At 38.9% G+C, this 23038-nt stretch overlaps 2 protein-coding genes across 5 annotated transcripts in view, besides 4 other annotated features; one reads left to right on the plus strand and one right to left on the minus strand.

Moving 5' to 3' along the window:
• ETFDH (electron transfer flavoprotein dehydrogenase) overlaps positions 1 to 4323 on the plus strand; it is a 37328-nt gene extending 33005 nt beyond the window's left edge. For 2 of the 3 annotated variants that reach the window (NM_004453.4, NM_001281737.2), the window contains 3 exons: positions 889 to 1071; positions 1329 to 1550; positions 3064 to 4323. In NM_004453.4, the coding sequence (NP_004444.2) occupies positions 889 to 1071; positions 1329 to 1550; positions 3064 to 3227 (569 nt within the window). In that variant the 3' untranslated portion in view covers positions 3228 to 4323. The remainder of the gene's footprint in view (positions 1 to 888; positions 1072 to 1328; positions 1551 to 3063) is intronic. The other variant, NM_001281738.1, reaches the window with a different exon arrangement.
• Positions 3827 to 18096, minus strand: PPID (peptidylprolyl isomerase D). Of its 2 annotated transcripts, NM_005038.3 has the most exons (10): positions 17904 to 18096; positions 16043 to 16183; positions 13880 to 13986; positions 11712 to 11900; positions 10262 to 10384; positions 9997 to 10103; positions 7819 to 7960; positions 5462 to 5548; positions 5328 to 5370; positions 3827 to 4524 (listed from the first exon to the last, which is right to left on the minus strand). In NM_005038.3, exons 1-10 carry the CDS (start codon positions 17986 to 17988, stop codon positions 4436 to 4438), a joined length of 1113 nt encoding a protein of 370 aa, NP_005029.1. In that variant the 5' UTR covers positions 17989 to 18096; the 3' UTR covers positions 3827 to 4435. The 2 variants fall into 2 exon arrangements, with proteins under 2 accessions (NP_005029.1, XP_047271800.1); XM_047415844.1 differs by lacking the exons at positions 3827 to 4524; positions 5328 to 5370; positions 5462 to 5548; positions 7819 to 7960; positions 9997 to 10103 and having other exon boundaries at positions 10327 to 10368.
• Positions 17506 to 18089: an enhancer, noted in NCBI's record as "H3K27ac hESC enhancer chr4:159643958-159644541 (GRCh37/hg19 assembly coordinates)". NCBI's record gives its function as "activates a minimal SCP1, AML or CMV promoter by ChIP-STARR-seq in primed H9 embryonic stem cells {active_cell/tissue: H9 hESC(primed)}" and the evidence as "EXISTENCE:reporter gene assay evidence [ECO:0000049][PMID:30033119]".
• Positions 17506 to 18674: a biological region, named in NCBI's record as "hESC enhancers GRCh37_chr4:159643958-159644541 and GRCh37_chr4:159644542-159645126".
• Positions 17723 to 18202: an enhancer, noted in NCBI's record as "active region_22086". NCBI's record gives its function as "activates an Ori minimal core promoter by ATAC-STARR-seq in GM12878 lymphoblastoid cells {active_cell/tissue: GM12878}" and the evidence as "EXISTENCE:reporter gene assay evidence [ECO:0000049][PMID:35858748]".
• Positions 18090 to 18674: an enhancer, noted in NCBI's record as "H3K27ac-H3K4me1 hESC enhancer chr4:159644542-159645126 (GRCh37/hg19 assembly coordinates)". NCBI's record gives its function as "activates a minimal SCP1, AML or CMV promoter by ChIP-STARR-seq in primed H9 embryonic stem cells {active_cell/tissue: H9 hESC(primed)}" and the evidence as "EXISTENCE:reporter gene assay evidence [ECO:0000049][PMID:30033119]".

Genomic DNA, 23038 nt, shown 5'->3' on the forward strand with positions numbered 1-23038 from the left:
AGTCCTCCCACTTTGGCCTCCCAAGTAGCTGGAAATTACAGGCTAGAGCCACTGTGCCCAGTTCTGTCCCTTCTTCTAAGGATACCAGCCATATTGGATTAGAGACCCACTGTACTGTAGTAGACCTCTTCTTAACTAATTATATCTACAGCCACTAATAAGGTCACAGTCTAAGGTACTGGAGGTTAGGACTTCAAAACCTATTTTGGGGGGACATATTTCAACCCATAGCAGGTAGAAATAGTTTGAGTTGTAAATTATGAAATTTCTTCACTCTTACAGGTAGCATGAACTTTTTATCTTAAAGCTTCTTTCTCGGTTTCACTAAAATTTGAAACTAATTTTCCATGCTACCAATGTAAGAAATCAAATGCCTTACTGCCTGTTAATAACATATCTATATCTAATGGTTGTCTTTTTGGAAGATGCCAACATTTATACATGAAAGAGCCTTCACTGTGGACCATGTTTTAAAAAATTACTTAAGATTCACTCATCAGCCAGGTGCGGTGGCTCATGCCTGTGATCCCAGCACTTTGGGAGGCTGAGGCGGGCATATCACTTGAGCCCAGCAGTTCAAGACCAGCCTGGGCAACATGGCAAAACCCTCTTTCTACCAAAAACACAAAAGTTAGTAGGGTGTGGTGGCGTGTGCCTCTGGTCCCACCTACTCAGGAGGCTGAGGTGGGAGGATGGCTTGAATCTAGGAGGTGGAGGTTGCAGTGAGCCATGATCACACCACTGTACTCCAACCTGGGTGACAGAGCAAGACCTTGTCTCGAAAAAAGAAAAACTTCACTCATCAGCTATCAAAGTAGCAAAATACTTAGCGTATTTTACACACATTTGGGCAGTTTCGCACTTAACATTTCATGTTTTTAATAAAAGGACTCCATGTAACTGAATATGAGGACAATTTGAAGAACTCATGGGTATGGAAAGAGCTATATTCTGTTAGAAATATAAGACCGTCCTGCCACGGAGTACTGGGTGTATATGGAGGGATGATTTACACTGGAATCTTTTACTGGATATTGAGAGGAATGGAGCCGTGGACTCTGAAACATAAAGGTAATTCAAACAAGAGTATGAGTGACATGATCATTAAAAATTCATGAATGGGATCTGTTAATTAGAGAAAGTGATTGTTTTAATGTTTTCAACTTGGAGAAATTATAAATTTAGTGTCTAAGAACAGTATATTATTACTTGAGGGCTAGTCATATTTCTTTGGTGTGATAATATTTTGAAGTTTTTATACAAATAGGCTTAAGAAAAAGTACTTCAAAATCATATTTTGTTAAGCATTTCCCTCAAAATTGTTGAAGGTTCTGACTTTGAACGGCTCAAGCCAGCCAAGGATTGCACACCTATTGAGTATCCAAAACCCGATGGACAGATCAGTTTTGACCTCTTGTCATCTGTGGCTCTGAGTGGTACTAATCATGAACATGACCAGCCGGCACACTTAACCTTAAGGGATGACAGTATACCTGTAAATAGAAATCTGTCGATATATGATGGGCCCGAGCAGCGATTCTGTCCTGCAGGTAATAATTTCCATCTATTCCTAAATATTTGCTTTAAACATTTTAGGAATGTGATTTTGTTCTTTTAAAAAATGATTTCTGTATCTCCTTCCATTCCTTAGAAATTGTAAATGACTTCATCCAGCTTCCTTTAGGAAACATACTTTTAACTACTGGTTTTGTTAAGCCTAGTTCAGATAACATTTCTCAAAAAAAAAAAAAAAGCCCTTTGTCTACACTCAGACTAAGATGAAGATTCTTGAAAATGAAATACCTCTCTTTGCAGGTTCATGTGACTATTTAAAGTCATTTCTGTCATGGCAGCTCATCTGTATGTATTTGGGTGCATGTACTAGAACAGCACATTATGATTACATTCAGTCCAAGGAATGCTCTGAAACTTTAAATTCACCATGAATATTCTTTCAGTGCTGAGCTTTCAACTGAAATTACAGTAATAGGAACCAGGTCTCAAATGATATGGTAGAACAAAATAGTATTCCGATACTCGAAAAGTAGTACATTCACAAAAGAAGATACACTGTGACTTGGTCTTTTGGCTTTTGTCATTACAGTGGGTTGAAAACTCCCTGAGGTTAAATTTGGTTTTTTAGCTGTACCGTTAGGCTCCTCTTACCCCCAGTCACCCACGGTCTGAAAATAAGAAAATTCCAGAAACAAATAATTCTTGAGTCTTAAATTGTGCACGTTAAGTTTTAAATTGTGTACCATTCGGGCTTGCCCCACCCTGAATGTGAATTATCCCTTTGTCCAGCATATTCACACCTAACATTCGTTATGTTACTTGGTAGCCATCTAAGTTATCAGATTTACTGTCACATTATCATACTTGTGTCCAGTAACCCTTTAGAAATATCCCCACAACGCAAGAGTAGTGATGCTGACAATTCAGAGATGCCATAAAGTGCTTCCTTTAAGTGAAAGGAGAAAGTTCTCTATAAAGAGAAAAAAATCCTATGCTGAGGTTGCTAAGGTCTATGGTAAGACTGTATCTTCTGTGAAAGAGGAAAAAGAAATTTGTGCGTTTTGCTGTTGGACCTCGAACTGTAGAAGTTATGGCCAGAGTGTGGCAAGTGCTTCCTTAAGATGGAAAAGGCATCACATTTGTGGGTGAAATACATGAACAGAAACGTGTTCTGACTGACAATGTAAGTTGAGTACTACCTGAGGTTTCAGGCGTCTACTGGGGATCTTGGAACTTGTCCCCTGTGAATGAGAGGATGACTGTGAATAAGGGAGGACTTCGAGGTTGTGTGGAACTCAAACACTCAGTGTCGAGTACCCTTGATAGTGAGACAACTCAGCTGAATACCGCTGTACCTCCTTTTATTATGTACATGTAATTTACACTCACATCAATAGCAATGCACCAAGGTCTTCATAATCTCTATGGGTAAGCATTCAGAAAGCAACCTTTAAGGTTTCTGTGGCTACTCTTTCCTTAATTTTTACTTTTGAATTTAAAAATTTTTTAAAGTTAGGCACTTCAATATTATTTATTTTTACTTTTCAGGAGTTTATGAATTTGTACCTGTGGAACAAGGTGATGGATTTCGGTTACAGATAAATGCTCAGAACTGTGTACATTGTAAAACATGTGATATTAAAGATCCAAGTCAGAATATTAACTGGGTGGTACCTGAAGGTGGAGGAGGACCTGCTTACAATGGAATGTAAACTGCAGCTAGCCAGTTTCTTTCAAGTATGGCAAGCTAACGTTAAAATGTTTAGAGATTAACAGATTTCAGAATGTCTTTCTGCATATTACTGAACAGAATAGTCACAAAATGATTATCAAATAAAAATTTTATACTATATGTAAGATTGTCCCATAAAGAAATTACGGGTATTGCTTTTAAATAACCTTTATAAGAATGCAGCATCTTCCTACCTCTTCAGTTCTTCAGAGATTCAGTACCAAGAGCAAAATTCACTACTGGACTTTACATTTGACTTGCCAAAGTTAAGTAATCAAATATAAAAATGAATATATATTCTAGACTAAAGTTTTATTGAAACACAGCCATACCCATTGGTTACACATTGTCTATGGCTAATTTTGAATTACAACTGTGCAGGTGAGTGGGTGTGACATTACATGGTCTACAAAGCCTAAAAACTTTATGATCTGGCCCTTGCAGAAGAAGTATGCCCATCCCTGAACAAGTTTGTGTGTGTGTGTGTGTGTGTGTGTGTGTGTGTGTGTGTATTATCTATAAGTATGAAAACCTAGCATCATCCACCATGGATACATCAAAGAATCGAAGGAAACAATATACAAACTTAAGCTCTCATCTCTTTATTCAATAAGATGTGTCTTTACAAGTTTAAAAAGACTGGACACCATTATTTTTTATGAATAATGCACATAACCATTTTAAAAAACATTTTACTTGGCCGGGCACGGTGGCTCACACCTGTAATCCCAGCACTTTGGGAGGCCAAGGCGGGGTGGATCACAAGGTCAGGAGTTCAAGACCAACGTGACGTGACCAATATGGTGAAACCCCATCTCTACTAAAAATACAAAAATTAGCTGGGCGTGGTGGCACGTGCCTGTAATCCCAGCTACTTGGGAAGCTGAGGCAGGAGAATTGCTTGAACCCGGGAGGCAGAGGATGCAGTGAGCCGAGATTGCGCCACCGCACTCCAGCCTGGGTGACAGAGCAAGACTCCATCTCAAAGAAACAAACAAAACCACTTTACTTACTGTATTGTGACATGTTTATTAAGCATGAACCCCTATCAGTACTCCTAAACTGTAAACAGTAAGGAACTAAGGTGTCAAAAGAAACACATTAGGGATCATATTCATAGACAAAAACCTTTACATTTTCTTATTGCATTTATACAATCAACACACAATAAGCAAAACTGAATCCTTTCTAAGCAAACATTTTTGCATATACTGCCTTCTCTTTATCTTTCTGTGCCTTTATCTTTTGTTTGACTTTCAGCAATTCTGCCTGGATAGCTGTAAAATAAATATGCAATGTGAGTTATTTCTCAAAATATCCAAAAAATTATGGTGACTAACAAACTATTTTAATGTTAACTACCCCTTGAAAAAACTTCTCTACAAAGTAACTAAGCCCTAGTAACAGAAAATCTGAGCAATCACACAAACACAGAAATGAAACGTAATTTTAGAGGATGTCAACTGAGAGAACTCAAGTACATCAAGATTTGCCTTCTGCCTCTACATTAGAGAACAGTAATTGCTTCCCTTGTTTCATTTTAGTAATAAGAGACCAAAGACATTTTGTAATACCCAGATCTAGTGTCACTATTCATAGTTGGTTTATTTGAAAAACAAGCTTATTTTTGTCATAGTTTCCTAAAACATATAACCAGTACATCAATACTAAGGTTATAGCCACATTCAACTTGAATGGTCCCAAATGTTAAATTTACCATGAATACTGTGTCTTACAATGCTGAGCTCTCGACTAGACTAACCAGAATAGGAACACAGTCTCAAAGGATACCATAAGACAAACAGTATTTAGACATATAAAAAACTACAGAGATGATAACTTGAAGAATAAATAACGTGAAAAACTACTATATTCTTGAATGGGAGTAGAATGTAAGCTCTTTGAGGGCAGGGACTTTGACTGTCTTGTTCATTGCTATATGATAATGCCTGGCCCAACAGCAGGCATTCTGTAGTGTCTGTTGAACAAACATCTAAAATCTGGCAAAGTGAACAATGGTTCCTGAGGATAAGTATTTAAATAACAAAATTAACTTTCACTACAAAAGCTGCCAACTTACCTTTATCTTCTGGTGCTATCCCCTGAGCTTTCTTAAGATCAGCCTTTAATTGGAAAAAAACATTTAAGTTAGGTGTATGATTTATAAAGGTAGTTGTCTATTTTAAAAAATTAAACATTTGGAACAAAATTTACCAATGCTTGATCATATTCTTTTAATCCTTGCCATCCTTGAGCTCTGCGGTACAATGCTTTGGTATTTGATGGGTCTAGTTCAAGAGCCTACAAAAAAGTATAAAGCTAGTATTTATATCAAAGTATTAAGCTTATATGCCAGATTTCAATTCATTGCCTATCAACTCCAAACCCATCCTTCACTGCTCTGTGAAAATGGAGCTGAAACATGCAAATAGCTCTCCTCTGCCAGTGGGCACTAAGTTTTGTCAGCAGAGGGCACTGAATGGACATGGAGGAGAAAGACATTTCTCTAGTTTCCAATATGCTCCCCACTGTGGTTTCAATCTCCCGAATGGGCCTGAACTAACACTTTTAAGATAAAATCATTTTGAAGAAACATTTGTATACACTTTTTACTTGAATTATAAGTTTTTTAGGAACATTAATAACTTAATAACTCTTAAGTTATAAACTCTTAAGTTTTTGTTTTTTGTTTTTTTAAGACAAGGTCTCACTCTGTGGCCCAGGCTGGAGTGCAGTGGCCTGATCACAGCTCACTGCTGCCTCAACCCCCCAGGCTCAAGTGCTCCTCCCACCTCAGCCTCCAAGTAGCTGGGACTACAGGTATGTGCCACCACACCAGACTAATTTTTTTTTTTTTTTAGAGACAGGGTTTCACCATGTTGCCCAGGCTGGTTTCAAACTCCTGGAATTAAGCGATCTGCCCGCCGCCGTGGCCTCCCTAAGTGCTGGAATTACAGGCATGAACCACCATACCCAACCTAGGTTCTTACCTACAACAGGTCTTTTAACCTAAGAGACTTTATGCATCAGGTCTCTCCCCTAGAACAAACATTTTAAAATTATCTTTTGTTTATGTAACATCTTTTAATGGCCAATACTCAGATTTTACCTGCCTCACAGGTCAAAAAGAGATCGAGGCTGGGCAGAGAGGCTCTTAACTATAATACCAGCACTTTGTGAGGCCAAGGCGGGTGGACAGCTTGAGCCCAGGAGTTAAGAGACCAGCCTGGGCAACATGTCAAAAACCCATCTCTACAAAAAATTTAAAAATCAGCTGGGTATGGTGGCAAGGGCCTGTAGTCCCAGCTACTTAGGAGGCTGAGGTAGGAGGATCACCCGAGCCCAGGAGGTTGAGGCTGCAGTGAGCTTTGATTGCATCACTGCACTCCAGCATGGGTGACAGAGAACAAAAAAAAACCCAGAGTGAAGACCCATCTTTTCTTTTGATAAGTTTTTTCCTCTGTTGTATGATCCCTTCTAAATATATTCCTATCCCTTATTCCATCTACCCTACAAAATTAGGATCTCATTTTAGTTCTACTTGCTCTGAGCATAGCTAGTCTAGGTGCCTGGCTTAATATGTAAAATTCTTAAAGTTTCATTTGGAAAACTTTTCAAACTATACAACAGGGAAGAGAGTCATAATTGCTCTATTTGAGGAAGGTAAAACTGCCACCTTTCTAGCTTTATCAGTTAGCATACCTGGATGACCTCCTAAAGATAAATGACCTGTTCCAATAGAACCCATTCTCCATACACAAGTCCTGATGAACCTAAATTGAAACTGACCCCCTCCTATCCTGAATCACTTATTAAGCTTCTTGAGGGTATGGATCTTTTAATTAAAATAACTCGTCTCTGTTAGGTGCTTAAAATGTGCCAGGCACTACACTAAATGCCTTACATTGTGTTATATAACTCTCTATAACTACTTCACGGTGGCTCACACCTGTAATCCTAGCACTTTGGGAGGCCAAGGCGGGTGGATCACCTGAGATCAGGAGTTTGAGACCAGCCTGGCCAACATGGTGAAACCCTGTCTCTACTAAAAATACAAAAATTATCTGGGCATGGTGGCACATGCCTGTAATCCCAGCTACTTGGGAGGATGAGGCAGGAGAATCACTTGAACCCGGGAGGCAGAGGTTGCAGTAAGCCGAGATTGCGCCACTGCACTCCAGCCTGGGCAACAGAGTAAGACTCCGTCTCAAAAAAAAAAGAAGAAGAAAAAAGCCATGCCTGACTGACTCCATAACCCACATCTTAATCATTTCTGACTTTGTCTTCTAATGCCTAACACACAATAGGTGCTCTTAAGTGAATACATGAGCTGATATATGTGCTTTGAGAAAAAAAGGCAAGGATCTTCATAGCTGTTAAGTGACACAGAGTTATAAGCAAAATGAATGTAGAGAAAGAACTGAGGGTCCAAAATATTTAGAAACAAAATGTTTTCTTAAGCCTCATTAGGTCCTATGCAATAAGATATATTAATGTATATAAAAGTTGCTACTATTCAAACTAAGTCTTAATCCAACTTATTCAAAAAGTTCAAAATCAAACAGACTTACCTCTAAACAACTGTCAATTGCTCCCTGCCAATTTGACATCTTCAGTTTACAAGCACCAATATTCAGTACACAGCTTAAAGCTATAGGTTGCAGCTTGGCTCTATCTGCTGTCTCAATAACAGCCTTTGAACTGTCCACGTATCTGCAGAATGCATTAATAAAAGCAGTATGAAAGACCACATAAACAGGAATTACTCTTCTCTATGTCCAGAAGTGTTATGTCATTTCTGATATAAAAAGCTCTAAAAATGCTATTAATAATCTTAATGATCACACTTTTTAAAATTTTTAAGAAGGCTTAAAAAAAATTGTTTTTGTTCCCCAAAGTGTTCAAAGAGGCCAATTTAAGAGCAATTCCCAAATCTAATTATGCACTAGTAACACTTTTCTATTTTTAAAACTCAGGTCCCCACTATGTACTTTCCAACATAATTATGTTTGGAACCAGGATTCTCATAATAGGAGAAGGGAATTCAGTAGAGGAAAGATGAAGGAGAACTCTATTGTGTTGATTTTGCATTGTCCCTGAAAAGGGCCCCAAAACTGAGCACACCTGGCCCCCAGAATTTGGTTTCTAAAGTTTTCTTTCTCTAAAAGAAATCAGAGGTCCTTGGAGAAACTGCCATATCAGATGTGAAAGTAAGGTAAGATGAGCTTAGAGCAAGCAAGTGCTCGCAGACTAATAGGAACATGCCAAAGGAAAGGGGCCTTCCACTGAACAAATTTGGAACCCTTTGGGCATGAAAAAGAATGACAATAATAGCGTACTAACAAACGGAATTGAAAACTACCCATAAGATATCCTCTAGTCCCTGCTACTTGGGAAGGTGAGGAGGGAGGATTGCTTGGGCCCAAAAGTTCCAGACCAGCCTGGGCAATATAAAGGAGGCCTTGTTTCTATAAAAGGAAAAAAAAAGAAAAGAAAAATATCCACAGGTCTATAGTGATACTTAAAAAATATGCGGGAGGCTCTTGCAAACAGAAGAATGCTAGTTAATAACTGTACGATGATAAACTTAGAAGTTCAGTATAACAGATTCAGGCATGGATTTTCAATGATGCTAAGATCCACTGTGTGAAAAGTTGTTGGGGACTAGAAATTCATACAATTTCACGATACCACCTCAGACTAACAAATGCTTGTGGCTGACACTACTTTAACCATGTGTGTGAACTCAAACAGGCCAAAGCGAAATGTGTCTTCAGGATGTGATATCATAGGTAATACAAAACAACACCTAAGTCTTCTTGCCAAAATATTTCACCTCAAACTAATCTTAAGGAAACAAACACATACAGATGAAAGTCTATAAAAACAACTGACTTGGACTCCACAAAAATGCAAATGAATAAAAAACCAGGGGAGGTAGGAAACGTAAGAGATACTACCACTAAATATAACACATAATCTTAGTTTGGACCCTTGATTTTTCTAAGAAATTGAAACAACTGGGGAAGTTGGAATATGGATTACTTTTTTTTTTTTTTTTGAGACAGAATCTCACTCTGTCGCCCAGGCTGGAGTGCAGTGGCATAATCTCGGCTTGCTGCAACCTCCACCTCCTGGGTTCAAGTAATTCTTGTGCCTCAGCCTCCCAAGTAGCTGGGATTACAGGCGTGCGCCACCAGCCCAGCTAATTTTTGTATTTTTAGTAGAGATGGGGTTTCACCATATTGGCCAGGCTGGTCTCGAACTCCCGACCTCAGGTGATCCGCCCAGCTTGGCCTCCCAAAGTGCTGGGATTATAGGCATGAGCCACTATGCCCAGCCTAAATATGGATTGATATTATCTATCAATATTACTTTGGGGTGTTTTAACGGTATTGAACTTATGCAGAATGTCTTTGTTTCTTAGGAAATACGTGCTGAAATACTTAGGGTAAAGTATCACAGTATCAACAACTTCCTATCAAAATAGTTCTGTAAAAACGTAAACAGCAAAAGTTAAAAATTGGTGAATGTAAGTAAAACTTATGAGTAATTATGTACTACTCGTTCAACTTCTGTCTTTTGAAATTTCTCAAAACAAGCTGAGGGGAAAAAAAAGGAAATGCAACTATTTCAACACACCTGGTTATTCCACAAGTAATTTGCAAAAATATAATGAGCAATTCTTAATTTTAGTTTATAATTCAATTTATAATTTCTTAAAAATAATTTGTTAGAAATAATATTACCTTAAAACTTCTGCATATTTTTTAATAGCCATCTCCCAGTTCTGGGATTTGAAAAAAGTATTTCCAATGTTTTTTAAGTCTTCTGTTATTAATAAAATTTTATCTACCTGTATAAAAAAATACAAATATGTTGGATTTTAGTAAGTAATGTGGTTTAATGCTAGATTCTATCATATGAGAGACTGAAACAAAAGCTCAAACTTTTAGTACTAAATATTTTCACTTACTAAATTAATTAAAGTTTGACTAATCTGAAAGTACTCACATCTTTTAAATCTATATCCGCATCCTCAGGGAAATCTGGATGACTGTCGCCAGAGCCATCTTTTGGGAATATTCCCCCGTCATCTCCTTCCTTCAATTCTCCACATTCTGCAATAACGCACAACTGTAAAAATAACCCTAAATTGTAGAAGTGCACTATCGTAATAATGAGAGATAAAAGCTATACAGCTGAAGTCATGTGCAGCACTGTCCAATTCACAGATTTATGTGAGAAGGCTCATTTATGTACTATAATGCTGTTTTTATACATTCCAACTAATACGACAATGTTAGTATTTACATAAGCATTTTATTGCTATTCAGGAGCTCAATAAACACAGAATAAGTTGGCAATTTTATCATTGTCTATGTAAGTGGCATTAGGTGGGGCATGAGCTTCCGGTTTACTACTATTCTTGTCATACACTGAGTGACAGCCTACCTCCTACAAGTAACTGAGCTTCCAACTCCCACTCACAACCCTGTCACTTAGGCTGGGTAGTATTATGGTCGTTTAGGGGTTTTTCTTTTTTTCTTTTTTTTTTAATAGAGACAGCATCTCACTATGTTGCCAAAGCTGGTTTCCAACTCCTGGTCTCAAGTGATCCTCCCACCTCAGCCTCCCAAAGTGCTGGGATTACAAGCATGAGCTACCATGCCCAGCCAATATTAAGGTCATTTTGATTCACAGACATTAAGTACACAAGGGTCTTCAGAGATAATCTAGTCTAAACCCATAAGTAATTTAGACAGGAGAAAACACGTGTGGAAAAGTTAAGTAACAAAGTCAAGGCCAAGCCTCTAGTTAATGCTACAATCCAGACAAGATTTTGGGCTTATTATCCTCATTCCACTATGTACTACTATACATACCAACTGAACAGTTTTGCAGGTATAGGAAGACTTAACGTAAACTAGCAAAGATCACCAAATGAAAGTTGAAATAATAAAAATCTCCTTTAAAACTACCCTAATTGTCTTTCCCATTGTAGAAAAGTTAAAAAAAAAAAAAAAAAGTGGCAGATCCTGGCTCCTATACCCAAAATTATTATAACATTTTTCCAGCTAATAATCACCTGATCCTTTTACTTATATTTCTTTAAGATAGCAACTAACAGGCTGGGTGCGGTGGCTCATGCCTGTAATCCCAGCACTTTGGGAGGCCGAGGTGGGCGGATCACAAGGTCAGGAGTTTGAGACCAGCCTGGCCAACATGGTGAAACCCCGTCTCTATTAAAAATACAGAAAAAATTAGCCGGGTGTTGTAGCGCGCGCCTGTAATCCCTGCTACTCAGAAGGCTGAGGCAGGAGAATAGCTTGAACCTGGGAGACAGAGGCTGCAGTGAGCCGAGACCGCACCACTGCACTCCAGCCTGGAACAGATCGAGACTCCGTCTCAAAAAGATAGCAACTAAGATAATAAGTGTATTTCACTGTAACTTTTTACTTACTTTAGCAGGTTTTTCACCTTTCACTTCCACATTTTCCAATATCCTTGCCACTCCTATTCCTTTAATTACTTGGCCAAACACCACATGTTTCCCATCCAAATGAGGAGTTGGAACTGTTGTGATAAAAAACTGAGAACCGTTTGTGTTGCGGCCTGCATTTGCCATGCTCAGTAAACCCTCCCGATCATGCTGTAGAAATAAAAATTAAAAGAAAACCAAGGTTAGATGTGTTCTTTTCTGAATTGTGTGTTAGTCTGAACTGTTCTTTTACTGAACATAAAACTGGGGTGCACTATACTACCATTTAGATCAAACTACTTTTTTTTACTTTTCACTTATAAAATTTTTTAATTACTTTTTATTTTTTTATAAACTGCAACCTTTAATTCACAAAACATGGGGCACTTAATCACTTTAAACTTTAAAAAACCTTATCAAAGTAAATAGGTAACAGAAACAATAGTCGGGGGGAGGGTTATTTCTAAATTGGCCATGAGAAAATACTTACACTTCACCTTTAAAATGAAGATGCAGCATTATGAAACTCTTGTAATATATTTTGCCCTCTTTATGATGAATGCTCTTTTTTTCTGGGAAGACCTGAACGGTCTTCCAAATTCATAAATATGCCTACAGTATAAGTCTTCCTTTACAAAACATCAATAAACTGGAACAATAATGGGATACTGAATTTACCCAAGACATTCAGTTTGGTACTTTCCTAATCTCAAAAGAATCCAAATCATACAGGATTTGGATTAGGTTTTCATCCCAGATGAATCACCTCTTCGGAGAGTGCTCAAAAGAAACTGCTGCATACATCTTGAAATCAAAATTCTACCTTGGCATAATCCTGTCAAAGGATCTATGAAACCCAATTTCTTAACCTTTTCACTTTATCTCCTAGGCTTTCTAAATGTATTCCTTGTTGGTGCATGCACCGTAACTCTCATGTTATATAATGTTTCATGACACCCCCCACCCCACCAAAATGCCTTTTACTCCCCTCAGTCTAAATCAAATTCAGATTTTAAGGCCACCACGTTTATAGAAAGCAAGAATCATGTGTCTTGTCTATAGGCCCCTTTTCTCTATGTCAATGTGATCATCACATCACCTTTAGTTTTCATCCTTCTGGTAGCTTCCTTTGGTACAACAGTAACTAGAACTTTATTTCCTCAACGTCTCTTGCCTTTGTCTTTCCTCACCGACGTCCCTTTTTAAATTCTGCATCAATACTACAGTTCCTGCCTAACCAAATCTCAGACATGTTGCCGCCTTGCAAGACCCAGTCTGCACAGCCCAAGTAGCCATTCCTCCTCAATGACTTCCATAATAATTCAGACTGCATAAATCACATCTTTCTCCTGCAGTATATAGACAGTATTAGCAATGTTATACAAGCAAGGATATTCAATCAATTTAGCATTTATTTATATACTATTATTCTCCAGTAGTCCCATGTATCTTAATCTTGTCTCTGAGGTAGGATTATAAATTCCTTGTCATCAAGGCCTTTCATTTTTATAAACCCTTTGGTGCCAGTGATAGTGGCTCAATAAACACTGACTGGAAGACTGACGACATTTTTTCAAATTATCCTAATACCCTTGCTCATATTCCTTATTTCCAAAAATATCACTTTACTTTTGTACTTACATGTCCATTCTTATAACTTGAATGATGCAATATACCCCAATTACATCTTGGGACAACGAAGACAAGAAGGCACAGGCACCACTGAAGTCCTTTAGGAGCTTGGACATTTAACTATATCTGCTAGTGTGCAAATCCCCTGACATCCTGGATATTAGTGATGGTTTTGTTGCTCTTCAAATTCAAGGATAAGGATGCACAAGTTACCATCCTTCCAACAATGGAAACATTTTTCCTGGAAACAATTTTGCCAGATGCTGGTCGCATTTAAAAACTCACTGGCTTAACTGAAGCATATAAAAACTGGATCACAATGAAATAATGCTGAATTAATCATTACTGAATGAAAACTTTTCCATATTAAAGAACCATTATTTACAAAAGTGATTCCTATTACAAGAAATGGAGAATCTAAGCACACTTGAAACATTTTTTGGTGTCTTAATCCAACAAGTATTCCAGATATATAACAATCTTTTTATCAGCAATAACATGCATTTTCTCTACTTTACCTTGTAATGGAAATTTTCATCTTCAAATTTTTCACCATAAATACTTTCTCCACCTGTCCCATTCTGATTTGAGAAGTCTCCACCCTGAATCATAAATTTCTTAATAACTACAAAAAAGGAAAATGGCTATTAGTGACTGAGACATGGATGCCTTTAGCAATGCTTACTAATGGATACGTACGTAAGACAACTTTGTAGTGCATGACTCTAGTCATGTCTCTCTCCTGTTTGTCGCTCCCCACCCGTCTCCGCAACTCCAAACGCTTCAGGCTTTTCACCATCTGAATCCAACCTATTTTCACTGCCTGATCCCTGCTAACATTCAGAAAATCGGTTCAAATGATACCTCCCCTATAAAACTGTCACTGAAATCCCTAAGCTGTATGTCCTAATTTTTCTCCCATAGTATCTTGACTCTGCCTACATAACATATGGCATTATGATCTGCCCCTTCCAGCAATGATCTCCTTAAGTACACCAACTGTATTGTTTTACATCCTTATAACTATGTGCATGTACACATAGTACATATTAGTTACTCAATAATGTCTGCTGAATACAGACCAATGATTCCCAGTAGATTTGTTCTACCCTAATGGAAAATTTTCAGCAAATATATCACTTTGTGTCAAAGGTTACCAAGATTGCTTTCATGTTCAGAGAACCCTAGAGCTCACACAAATCAGTATGTGGTTGGATCACAGTGGTAAGGATACACAGCGAGATGACGGGAAAGACACAGGCAGAGTCTGGAAAAATCCATGTGCAGGCTTCCTTATGCTTTCTCCGTCCCATGAAGTGCTACAGAACACACACTTCCCCCAGCAACAAAAATGCAGCAACATGTACACAGTATTTCTGCCCAGGAGAGCCAATTAGAGACTCAGCACCCAAGGTATTTATTGGGCACACTCTACCTAGCATGTACCAAAATTCCAGACTCCCCAAAAGAGAGCACACATTCATGTTTGTACAAATAGGCTAGGCATAGTAAATCACCATTACTATTTAGGAAATGGTACAAGTGTCAAGTTCCCAGACTCCAAACAAGTGCTACTCTTGCAGGCAGACCTTTCTAAAGATAGCAGTCTCACACTTGCTATGTTAAATATTTTCTGCATATAGTTTATTAGCATATTTCAAGTTTTTATTAAACATGAAAGTAAACATTTTAAATATTTTTTAAAAAGTTAATTTTTTCTTAATAAATCGTTTAAAAAATGTTGCTCTTGTGATTATTGCTTATTTGCCTATTTATTAAACAAATACTTACTGAGTTCTTACTCAATAACTGTATTAGATGCCAAAAACAAAATGGTGAAAACATACAGTTCTTGAACTCATAGAGCCTGCAGTCTATTGGGAGAACCATTATCACTAAACAAAAGTATGATTCATTACAAAGTGTAATAAGCAGTATGAAATGGCATATTTTGACCACACTATCACCCATGTGCCCAAAACACTGAATCTTCAAATCTGCTGCCTTCCCAAGCACTCAGGCCCAAAAATTATGCATTTTTTTGTTTGTTTGTTTGTTTGTTTGTTTGTTTGAGGCAGAGTCTCACTCTGTCGCCCAGGATGGAGTGCAGTGGCGTGATCTCGGCTCACTGCAAGCTCCACCTTCTGAGTTCATGCCATTCTACTGCCTCAGCCTCCCGAGTAGCTGGGACTACAGGCGCCCACCATCACACCCGGCTTATTTTTTGTATTTTTAGTAGAGACGGGGTTTCACCGCGTTAGCCAAGATGGTCTCGATCTCCTGATCTCGTGATTCACCCGCCTCAGCCTCCCAAAGTGCTGGGATTACAGGCGTGAGCCACTGCGCCCGGTCTATGCATAACTTTTTTGTCACCAGGCAATGAAGCTACCTAAGGTTGGTTGACTACGGCCTTCCTTTCTCAATCAAATCATCTTAGAGTGAAGGAGAATGAGAGGATGGGTAAAGCTAGGGGAGTCCATTTCTCTATAGATAAACCTTAGTACCATAAGTAATTCCACCTCGCACAGCCTAACCTTTACGAAACTGCGTTACTGCCTCAGACATGGACGCTAATAGTACTTTTTAAGCTTCACTTCCTACTTAGTGTTTTCTTCCCCAAATCCTAAAGAACAGGACTTGTCTGTATGAAGAATAACAAGATTAAGAAAATTTACACATACTTCGATGAAAAGGGCATCCTTTGAAATGGAGAGGTTTCCCAGTCGTGTGTCCAATGCCTTTTTCTCCTGTACACAGTGCACGAAAATTTTCCGCAGTTTTGGGTACGATATCTGCAAACAATTCTAAGACAATTCGACCAACTAAAAGAAAAGAAAATCTTGTCAGTATGCAAAACAACCAAATAGACAAATGATAAAAAGAAGGTTGGTATAATTATGGTAGCAGATCAATCATGAATTACCAAGTTCCCCTTTACTGTAATTTTTCTTTTTTGCAATTTCAAGAACACAACACATTGCTACTAACTATAGTCATTATGTTATACAATAGATCTCTTAAATTTATTCCCCCTTTCTAACTGAAATTAGGTCTCTCGTGATCAACATCTACCCAACCCCTGAAATCCACCATTCCATTCTCTACTTCAAGGTCAACTTTTTAGAAACCACATGTAAGTGAGATCATGCCTTGTCTTCCTGTGCCCAGCTTATTTCATGTAACATAATGTCCTCCATATTAATTCATGTTGTCAGAAGTGACAAGATTTCATTATTTTTTATGGGTGAATAGTACTCCACTGTGCACATATATCAAATTTTAAAAAAAATCCATCTGTAGATGGAAACCTAGTTTGATTCCATTATCTTGGCTATCATGAATAATGCTGCAATGAACATGGGAGTGCAGATACCTCTTTGACATACAAACTTCATTTCCTTTGAATATACTCACTAGAATTAGTGAATCTTATTTTATTCTAATATTCAAATTTAGTCTACCTACTGTCATGTATGTATATAAACAGATTTGAAACATTACACTAAGGATCATAACCAATTATAGTAGCCAAAAGATTAGCACCATGTAAGAGATATCATTAAATACAAATAGTTTTAAATCCTGAGTAATTTCTTCAAGAGGTACTGAGAATTTCCAATCACCAAGCAACCAACGGGAGAAAATTAAACAGTCTTTGGGTGGGCGGACTTGCCACGTGTTACGTATACCTGCAGCCTTTGTGCTCTGAGCAAACTGCCTCATGCAACCTCTGAAGCAAAAGCTGTAAAAATTCCTCCTCTAGATAGCAGCTAAGACAGGTGAGATTAAACCTAGCCCTAGCTAGTTGCAACAAACTGAATGTACGTGTAAACGTGTGTGTGTCCTGTACATGCATTCAAACACATTGCCTGGCCAGCAATTCCAACGTGTTCCAGAACAAGGCCAATCCAGTTACAAAGCAACACGCTCCCTAATTCACCAGGCCTTAGGAACTTCTGAGCGGCTATGTAACCTAGGCAACACCATCACTACGTTGAGCGCATTTTCCCAATGGCAAATTAAGAGAAAATGTTTGCTCATCTGAACGGACCTCTAAATTAAGAATCAGTAATAAGGCAAAAGCAATGAGCAAACAAGTCCCTTTAACGTATAAATAACACAGCACGTGCTGATATATTATCTCATGTGGCAAATATAGTTTCCTGGGGCCCAGCAGACGCATATCCCAGGATATGCTTTCCGAACTGTCCCATTGCAAACATAAAATATTTCATGCTAACTTGGTAGTGCAAAGGTGGCGTGGAAGTGCCACCAAATCAGGAGGCAAACCTAAAGGACGCCACAATTCCCGAACTAGAAATTTCCAGAAACTTCCGCACCACCGATGGCATTGATACAAGGGCGCTGGATCGATCTAGCCCTAGATCTCCGGGCCTGCTCCGGCGGACCAGCCTAGGCAGCCATCCCCTCCGCGAAACTGAGCAGTCACCGGCCGGAGCCGCATTCCGCCCTTGGAATCCCCCAAATCCCGGGAACCCCCGCCTCCTCGGGGCTTTTCCGCGAGCGTCAGACTCCGCTCACCTCGCTCCCCTCCGATGTCCACGTCAAAGAAGACTCGAGGGTTACTGGGGTTGGAGGGCTTGGCTTGGGGGGACGGGTGCGACATCTTGACTTGCAGACGTGTTTAGTACGGAATATCAGAGTACCTAGTGGCCGCCCGGGCCGCCCAAACTCCAGAGTCCGTCTCCGCCGGAGACCGGCAGCGACGCTGACCGGCCACTTCCGACGCAAGAACCGGAAGCCATGGCCTGACTTCCGGCACCGCCCCGCTCCCCCGCGCGGTGTTTCAAAGAGCCTGAGCGACTCCGTGCAGCGAACCGCGTGCCCTCCGCCACCTGTTCCTGGCTTCTCATTTAATGAAGTTGCGATCCCAGTTCTCATTATTCTTCTCGCTTGTGTTTCGTTGTCTTTCCCACCCTCGTGGCGTAGAGAGCTTTGGAGTCAACCCCATGCCAGCGTCAGCTCTGCCACCAAGTTGGGTGTGACTTCTCAGAAACTCAGTTTGCTCCTCTGGAAAAAGAATAAAAACGCTGACCTCGGAAGGTCGTTTTGAGGATTAAAGACATGAATCAGTACAATGCCTGGCATAAACTGGTGGTACCCAACCAATAGGAGCCTTATTATTGCCATGTCGTTACAATTTGATCTTCACATTACAATGTAAGTGGTAAGGCTTAGACTAAACGCTCCAAACAGCTAAAGCTGAGAGTCCAGAAGAGAGCACAGTTTTGATTCCTGATAAAACTGTATTTGGCGGGGCGCGGTGGCTCACGCCTGTAGTCCCAGCACATTGGGAGGCCGAGGCGGGCGGATCATTTGAGGTCAGGAGTTCGAGACCAGCCTGACCAACATGATGAAACCCGTCTCTACTAAAAATAAAAAAAAAAAAAATCACCCGGGCGTGGTGGTGCTTGCCTGTAGTCCCAGCTACTCGGGAGGCTGAGGCAGGAGAATCGCTTGAACCCGGGAGGCGGCGGTTGCAGTGAACCGAGATCGCGCCACTGTACTCCAGACTGGGTGACAGAGCGAAACTGTCCCCCCCCCCCCCAAAAAAAAGAAAAACAAAAAAATACTGTATTACTATAGCCCACTTTTCCCTTATGGGGATCTGTGTAAAACATTTACTTTTTACACACACACACACACACACACACACACACACACACACACATATATATGAGGAGAACATAGCCTTGCCTCTTAATAAAGCCTAATTTTGGAGAAGAGTGGCAATTCCCTGTGTAGATGCTTTGCCCTGTAGTTCTATTGGAGCTCAGCAATTTGGATTCAGCCTGAGGCTTACTTTATCAATAAGGCAGGAGATATCCTTAGATGCTTCACATTTTTTTTTCTTATGAGAAAGTAAAAAGTATTGGAATCCAGCACTCAAATAATGTCTCAAAAGCCAGGAGCCTTGTGTCAACAGCAGCAGCCAGAGTGGCTTTTTGGAAGGAAAGACCAGTGCTAATTTTCCCCTATCAGAGCTGTCACCATCCCTCTAGATGAAGGCTCCTGCCCTACTTGCTACCCGGTCTTAGGATAAGTAAAAGTTAGAAGGGTTACGGTTAAAGAACAACTGATTCCTATTCTCAATTTGAATTTGCCTGTGATGTTATACACTGGACTAAGCACGAAAGTTGATGTTAAAAAAGAAAAAAAAAAAAGCAAAAGCTTCAAGTTCTGACTACATGTATACTAGGCATGTTACCAAAGAAAAGTCATTTAATTTCTCTGAACCCTTCTCATTTCCTTTTCGGTAAAGTGCCAAAGAACAGGGTATGAGAATGGAAAAAGATAATGTGTAAGCATTTGCCTTGTAATCTCTAAAGCATTCTTATACACTCTTTTTTAAATTACTGAAAATTAGATGCTATAGTGCCTGAAGTTGTTTTAAAATAACCTGGAGTCAGGTAAGTGGGTTGGGTTGTGGATGAAACATAAGGGCCAGGCAGATGATTGGTGCATGGGAGTTTATTATACTACTCTTCTTTATTTTGCACATTTAAATTTTTTCATAATATTTTAAAAAGTAAAAGAGAAATTACATGTATTACTAGCTACTCATAATAAAACCAATTTGTTGGCCGGGTGTGATGGCTCACGCCTGTAATCCCAGCACTTTGGGAGGCCAAGGTGGGTGGAAGGCTTGAGCCCAGGAGTTCAAGACCAGCCCAGACAACATGGTGAAACCTCATCTCTACAAAAAATATTTTCTAAACAATAAATAAATAAATAATAAAACCAATTTATAGAGTCGTTTTTAATTAAAATACCAACATACCTTTTGTGAAAAAATAAATAATAGGTGTCGGTGAAATTTTAGGACAAATCAGTAAGGATATTATATTGATTGAATTTTTCTGTGTAATCACAAATTTGCCTTATTAACAAAATGCATACATACATAGGCATGTCCACATAGATACTCAGCAAAAGTTGATTCAATTATATGACAAATATTTAGCTCTTACTGTATGCCAGCCTCCATTCTGAGTGCTGATGATACAATGATGAAAAAACATATTCCTTATCCTTTTTTTTTTTTTTTTTTTTTTTTTGAGACAGGGTCTTGTGCTATCACCCAGGCTGGAGTGCAGTGGTGCAATCACAGCTCACAGTAGCCTCAACCTCCTGGACCCAAGTGATCTTCCCACCTCAGCCTCTTGAGTAGCTGGGACTACAGGCACATGCCGCCATGCCCAGGTAATTTTTTTTTTTAATTTTTAAGTGTAATTCAAAATGATTTCCTATCAGATTTCCTTGCTGATCCTTTCAAATTCCAGCACATTAAAGTTAATACAAAATGTTAATTTCTTATGTTCTCCAATTCCTGGTGTTTATTCATGGTATTTATTCATGGTGGTTCCCTGAAGATCCAGGACGGCTCAGAACAAAACTCCTGTGTCTCTTGATAAACAAGAGCATCAAAATCATTCATTAATCCAGTCTCATGTCTGGGCTGCAAACTGATAACTTATATTTTGTCTCATATATATCACAATAAGTTCACATTAACATTTTTATTCTGATCTACTAGCTTAAATTTAACATTTTAGTAGAGATGGGGTTTCGCCATGTTGCCCAGGCTGGTCTTGAACTCCTGGGTTCAAGCAATCTGCCCACCTTGGCCTCCAAAAGCATTGCAGGCATGAGCCACCACGCCTGGCCCCTTATCCTTAACTACACAAATTATACAGTCTTATGGGGGAGAAAGACTATTGAATAAACCTCTACAATGCAATATAATTAGTGTTTTAATAGGAAAAAGACAATCACATTCAGCACACAGCAGGGGCACTGAACACAGTAGCCTTTTCTAAGGTCAGAAATATGAGTAAGATCAGTCACAGGAGCATATGTGGCAAGGAAGACAGGTAAGGAGGGAACAGGTAAAGAGCATCTTCAAAGGAGGGGAACTATATATACTTATAAAGTGAAAATGGGCAACGAGAATGTTATTTCTCCATGAGAAGCCAGTTTTTTAGATAGTGCTGCTACTTCAGGTGGGTGTGGACCACTTGTGTATTAGTCCATTTTTCACACTGCTATAAAGGAATACCCGAGACTGTGTAATTCATAAAGGAAAGAGGTTTAATTGACTCACAGTTCCACATGACTAAGGAGGCCTCAGGAAACTTACAATCATGGCAGAAGGTGAAGGGGAAGCACACTTGGACCTTCCCACGTGGTGGCACGAGATAGAAGAGTGAGGAGCGAAGGGGAACAACCTCTTATAAAACCATCAGATCGCATGAGAACTCACTCACTATCACAAGAACAGCATGGGGGAAACCACCTCCATGATCCGATCTCCCTAGACACCTGGAGTCTCTCCCTAGACACATGGGGATTATGGGGATTACAGTTCAAGATGAGATTTGGGTTGGGACCTAACCATATCAACTGGTTTCAATGTTGAAATCAGAAGTCATGCTTTGGTTTGTATTTTTGTCCAGCTCCTTCAGATTGAGTTTTCAAAATGAGTAACAGTTTTATAACCTAGCCCATTTTATCCCTGAAATAGAAAGGAAAAAGAACACTAAGAGGAGCAAACTCAAAGATACCCCTAATTTACCTTTCCATAGCACTTATAACTTTGTAATATACTGTTTACTTACTTATTTCACATACTCATTAAAAATCAGCTCCTTGGGAATGATAGATAGTAAGAGGAGTTTAAAAAAACAAAATTTAGCTCCACAAGGACAAGAACCTTTGTTTTTTTCATTACTCTATCCCCAGCACTTCTAACAGTGCCTGACACATAGTAGGTGCTCAGTAAATATTTTTGAATGAATGAATTATACAAAATACTAATGGCTTTGAGAATTTTATGAAACAATGTTAACAAGAAATTTTATTTCCATGCCTTTAAGTGTAATTCAAAATGATTCTGTGTATCAGATTTTCATGCTGATCCTTCCAAATTCCAGCACATTAACATAAATATAAAATGTTAATTTCTTATGTTCTCCAATTCCTGGTGTTTATTCACGGTATTTATTCATGGTGGTTCCCTGAAGACCCAGGACGGCTCAGAACAAAACTTCTGTATCCCTTGATAAACTAGAGCATCAAAATCATTCACTAATCCAGTTTCATGTCTTGGCTGCAAACTGGTAACTTTGTCTCACATATATCACAATAAGTTCACATTAACATTTTTATTCTGATCTACTAGCTTAAATTTAACATTTTATTACAAGAATTGACACCCATATGCCATAGCCTCTCAACCATTATTATCATGATGAATATACTTAGGTAGGCATATCTTCTCTGCCATCAGAATTCTGGGGTTCACATTCAGTCTGTAACACATCATATTTTGTGCCTTTGGACGAGTTACTTAGCCTCTTTGTGCCTCACTTTCCTCACCTATAAATCAGAATAATAATATGTATCTCCTAAGGTTATTATGAAGATTAAATGAAAAATATTAAATAAAAGTGTTTTAGTATCTGACACACAGTAAGTACTCAATAAGGGTAAGCAATTACTAACCATAAGTAGCTAATACTTCATTATAATAGTTACATCAACATATTTCAAAATGGATATTAAAACTGCAAAGGAGTTTTGAGGATTCCTTTGCATTCTTACAAGGAAAAAAAAGTGACTCTTTCTGCTCTACTGGTTTCTGGGTGTAAAAGATT

The sequence above is a fragment of the Homo sapiens genome, chromosome 4 (genome assembly GCF_000001405.40).
Source record: "Homo sapiens chromosome 4, GRCh38.p14 Primary Assembly".
Taxonomy (NCBI): Eukaryota; Metazoa; Chordata; class Mammalia; order Primates; family Hominidae; genus Homo; species Homo sapiens.

What these genes read in the sequence shown, in the direction of transcription:
- PPID (NM_005038.3), bottom strand. Translation starts at nt 17,988, where the DNA reads ATGTCGCACCCGTCCCCCCAAGCCAAGCCCTCCAACCCCAGTAACCCT. An exon ending in AAATATGCAGAAGTTTTAAG is followed by an intron (nt 7,961 to 9,996) that starts GTAATATTATTT and finishes TGCATTCTGCAG; the next exon opens with ATACGTGGACAGTTCAAAGG. An exon ending in AAGAATATGATCAAGCATTG is followed by an intron (nt 5,371 to 5,461) that starts GTAAATTTTGTT and finishes TTCCAATTAAAG; the next exon opens with GCTGATCTTAAGAAAGCTCA.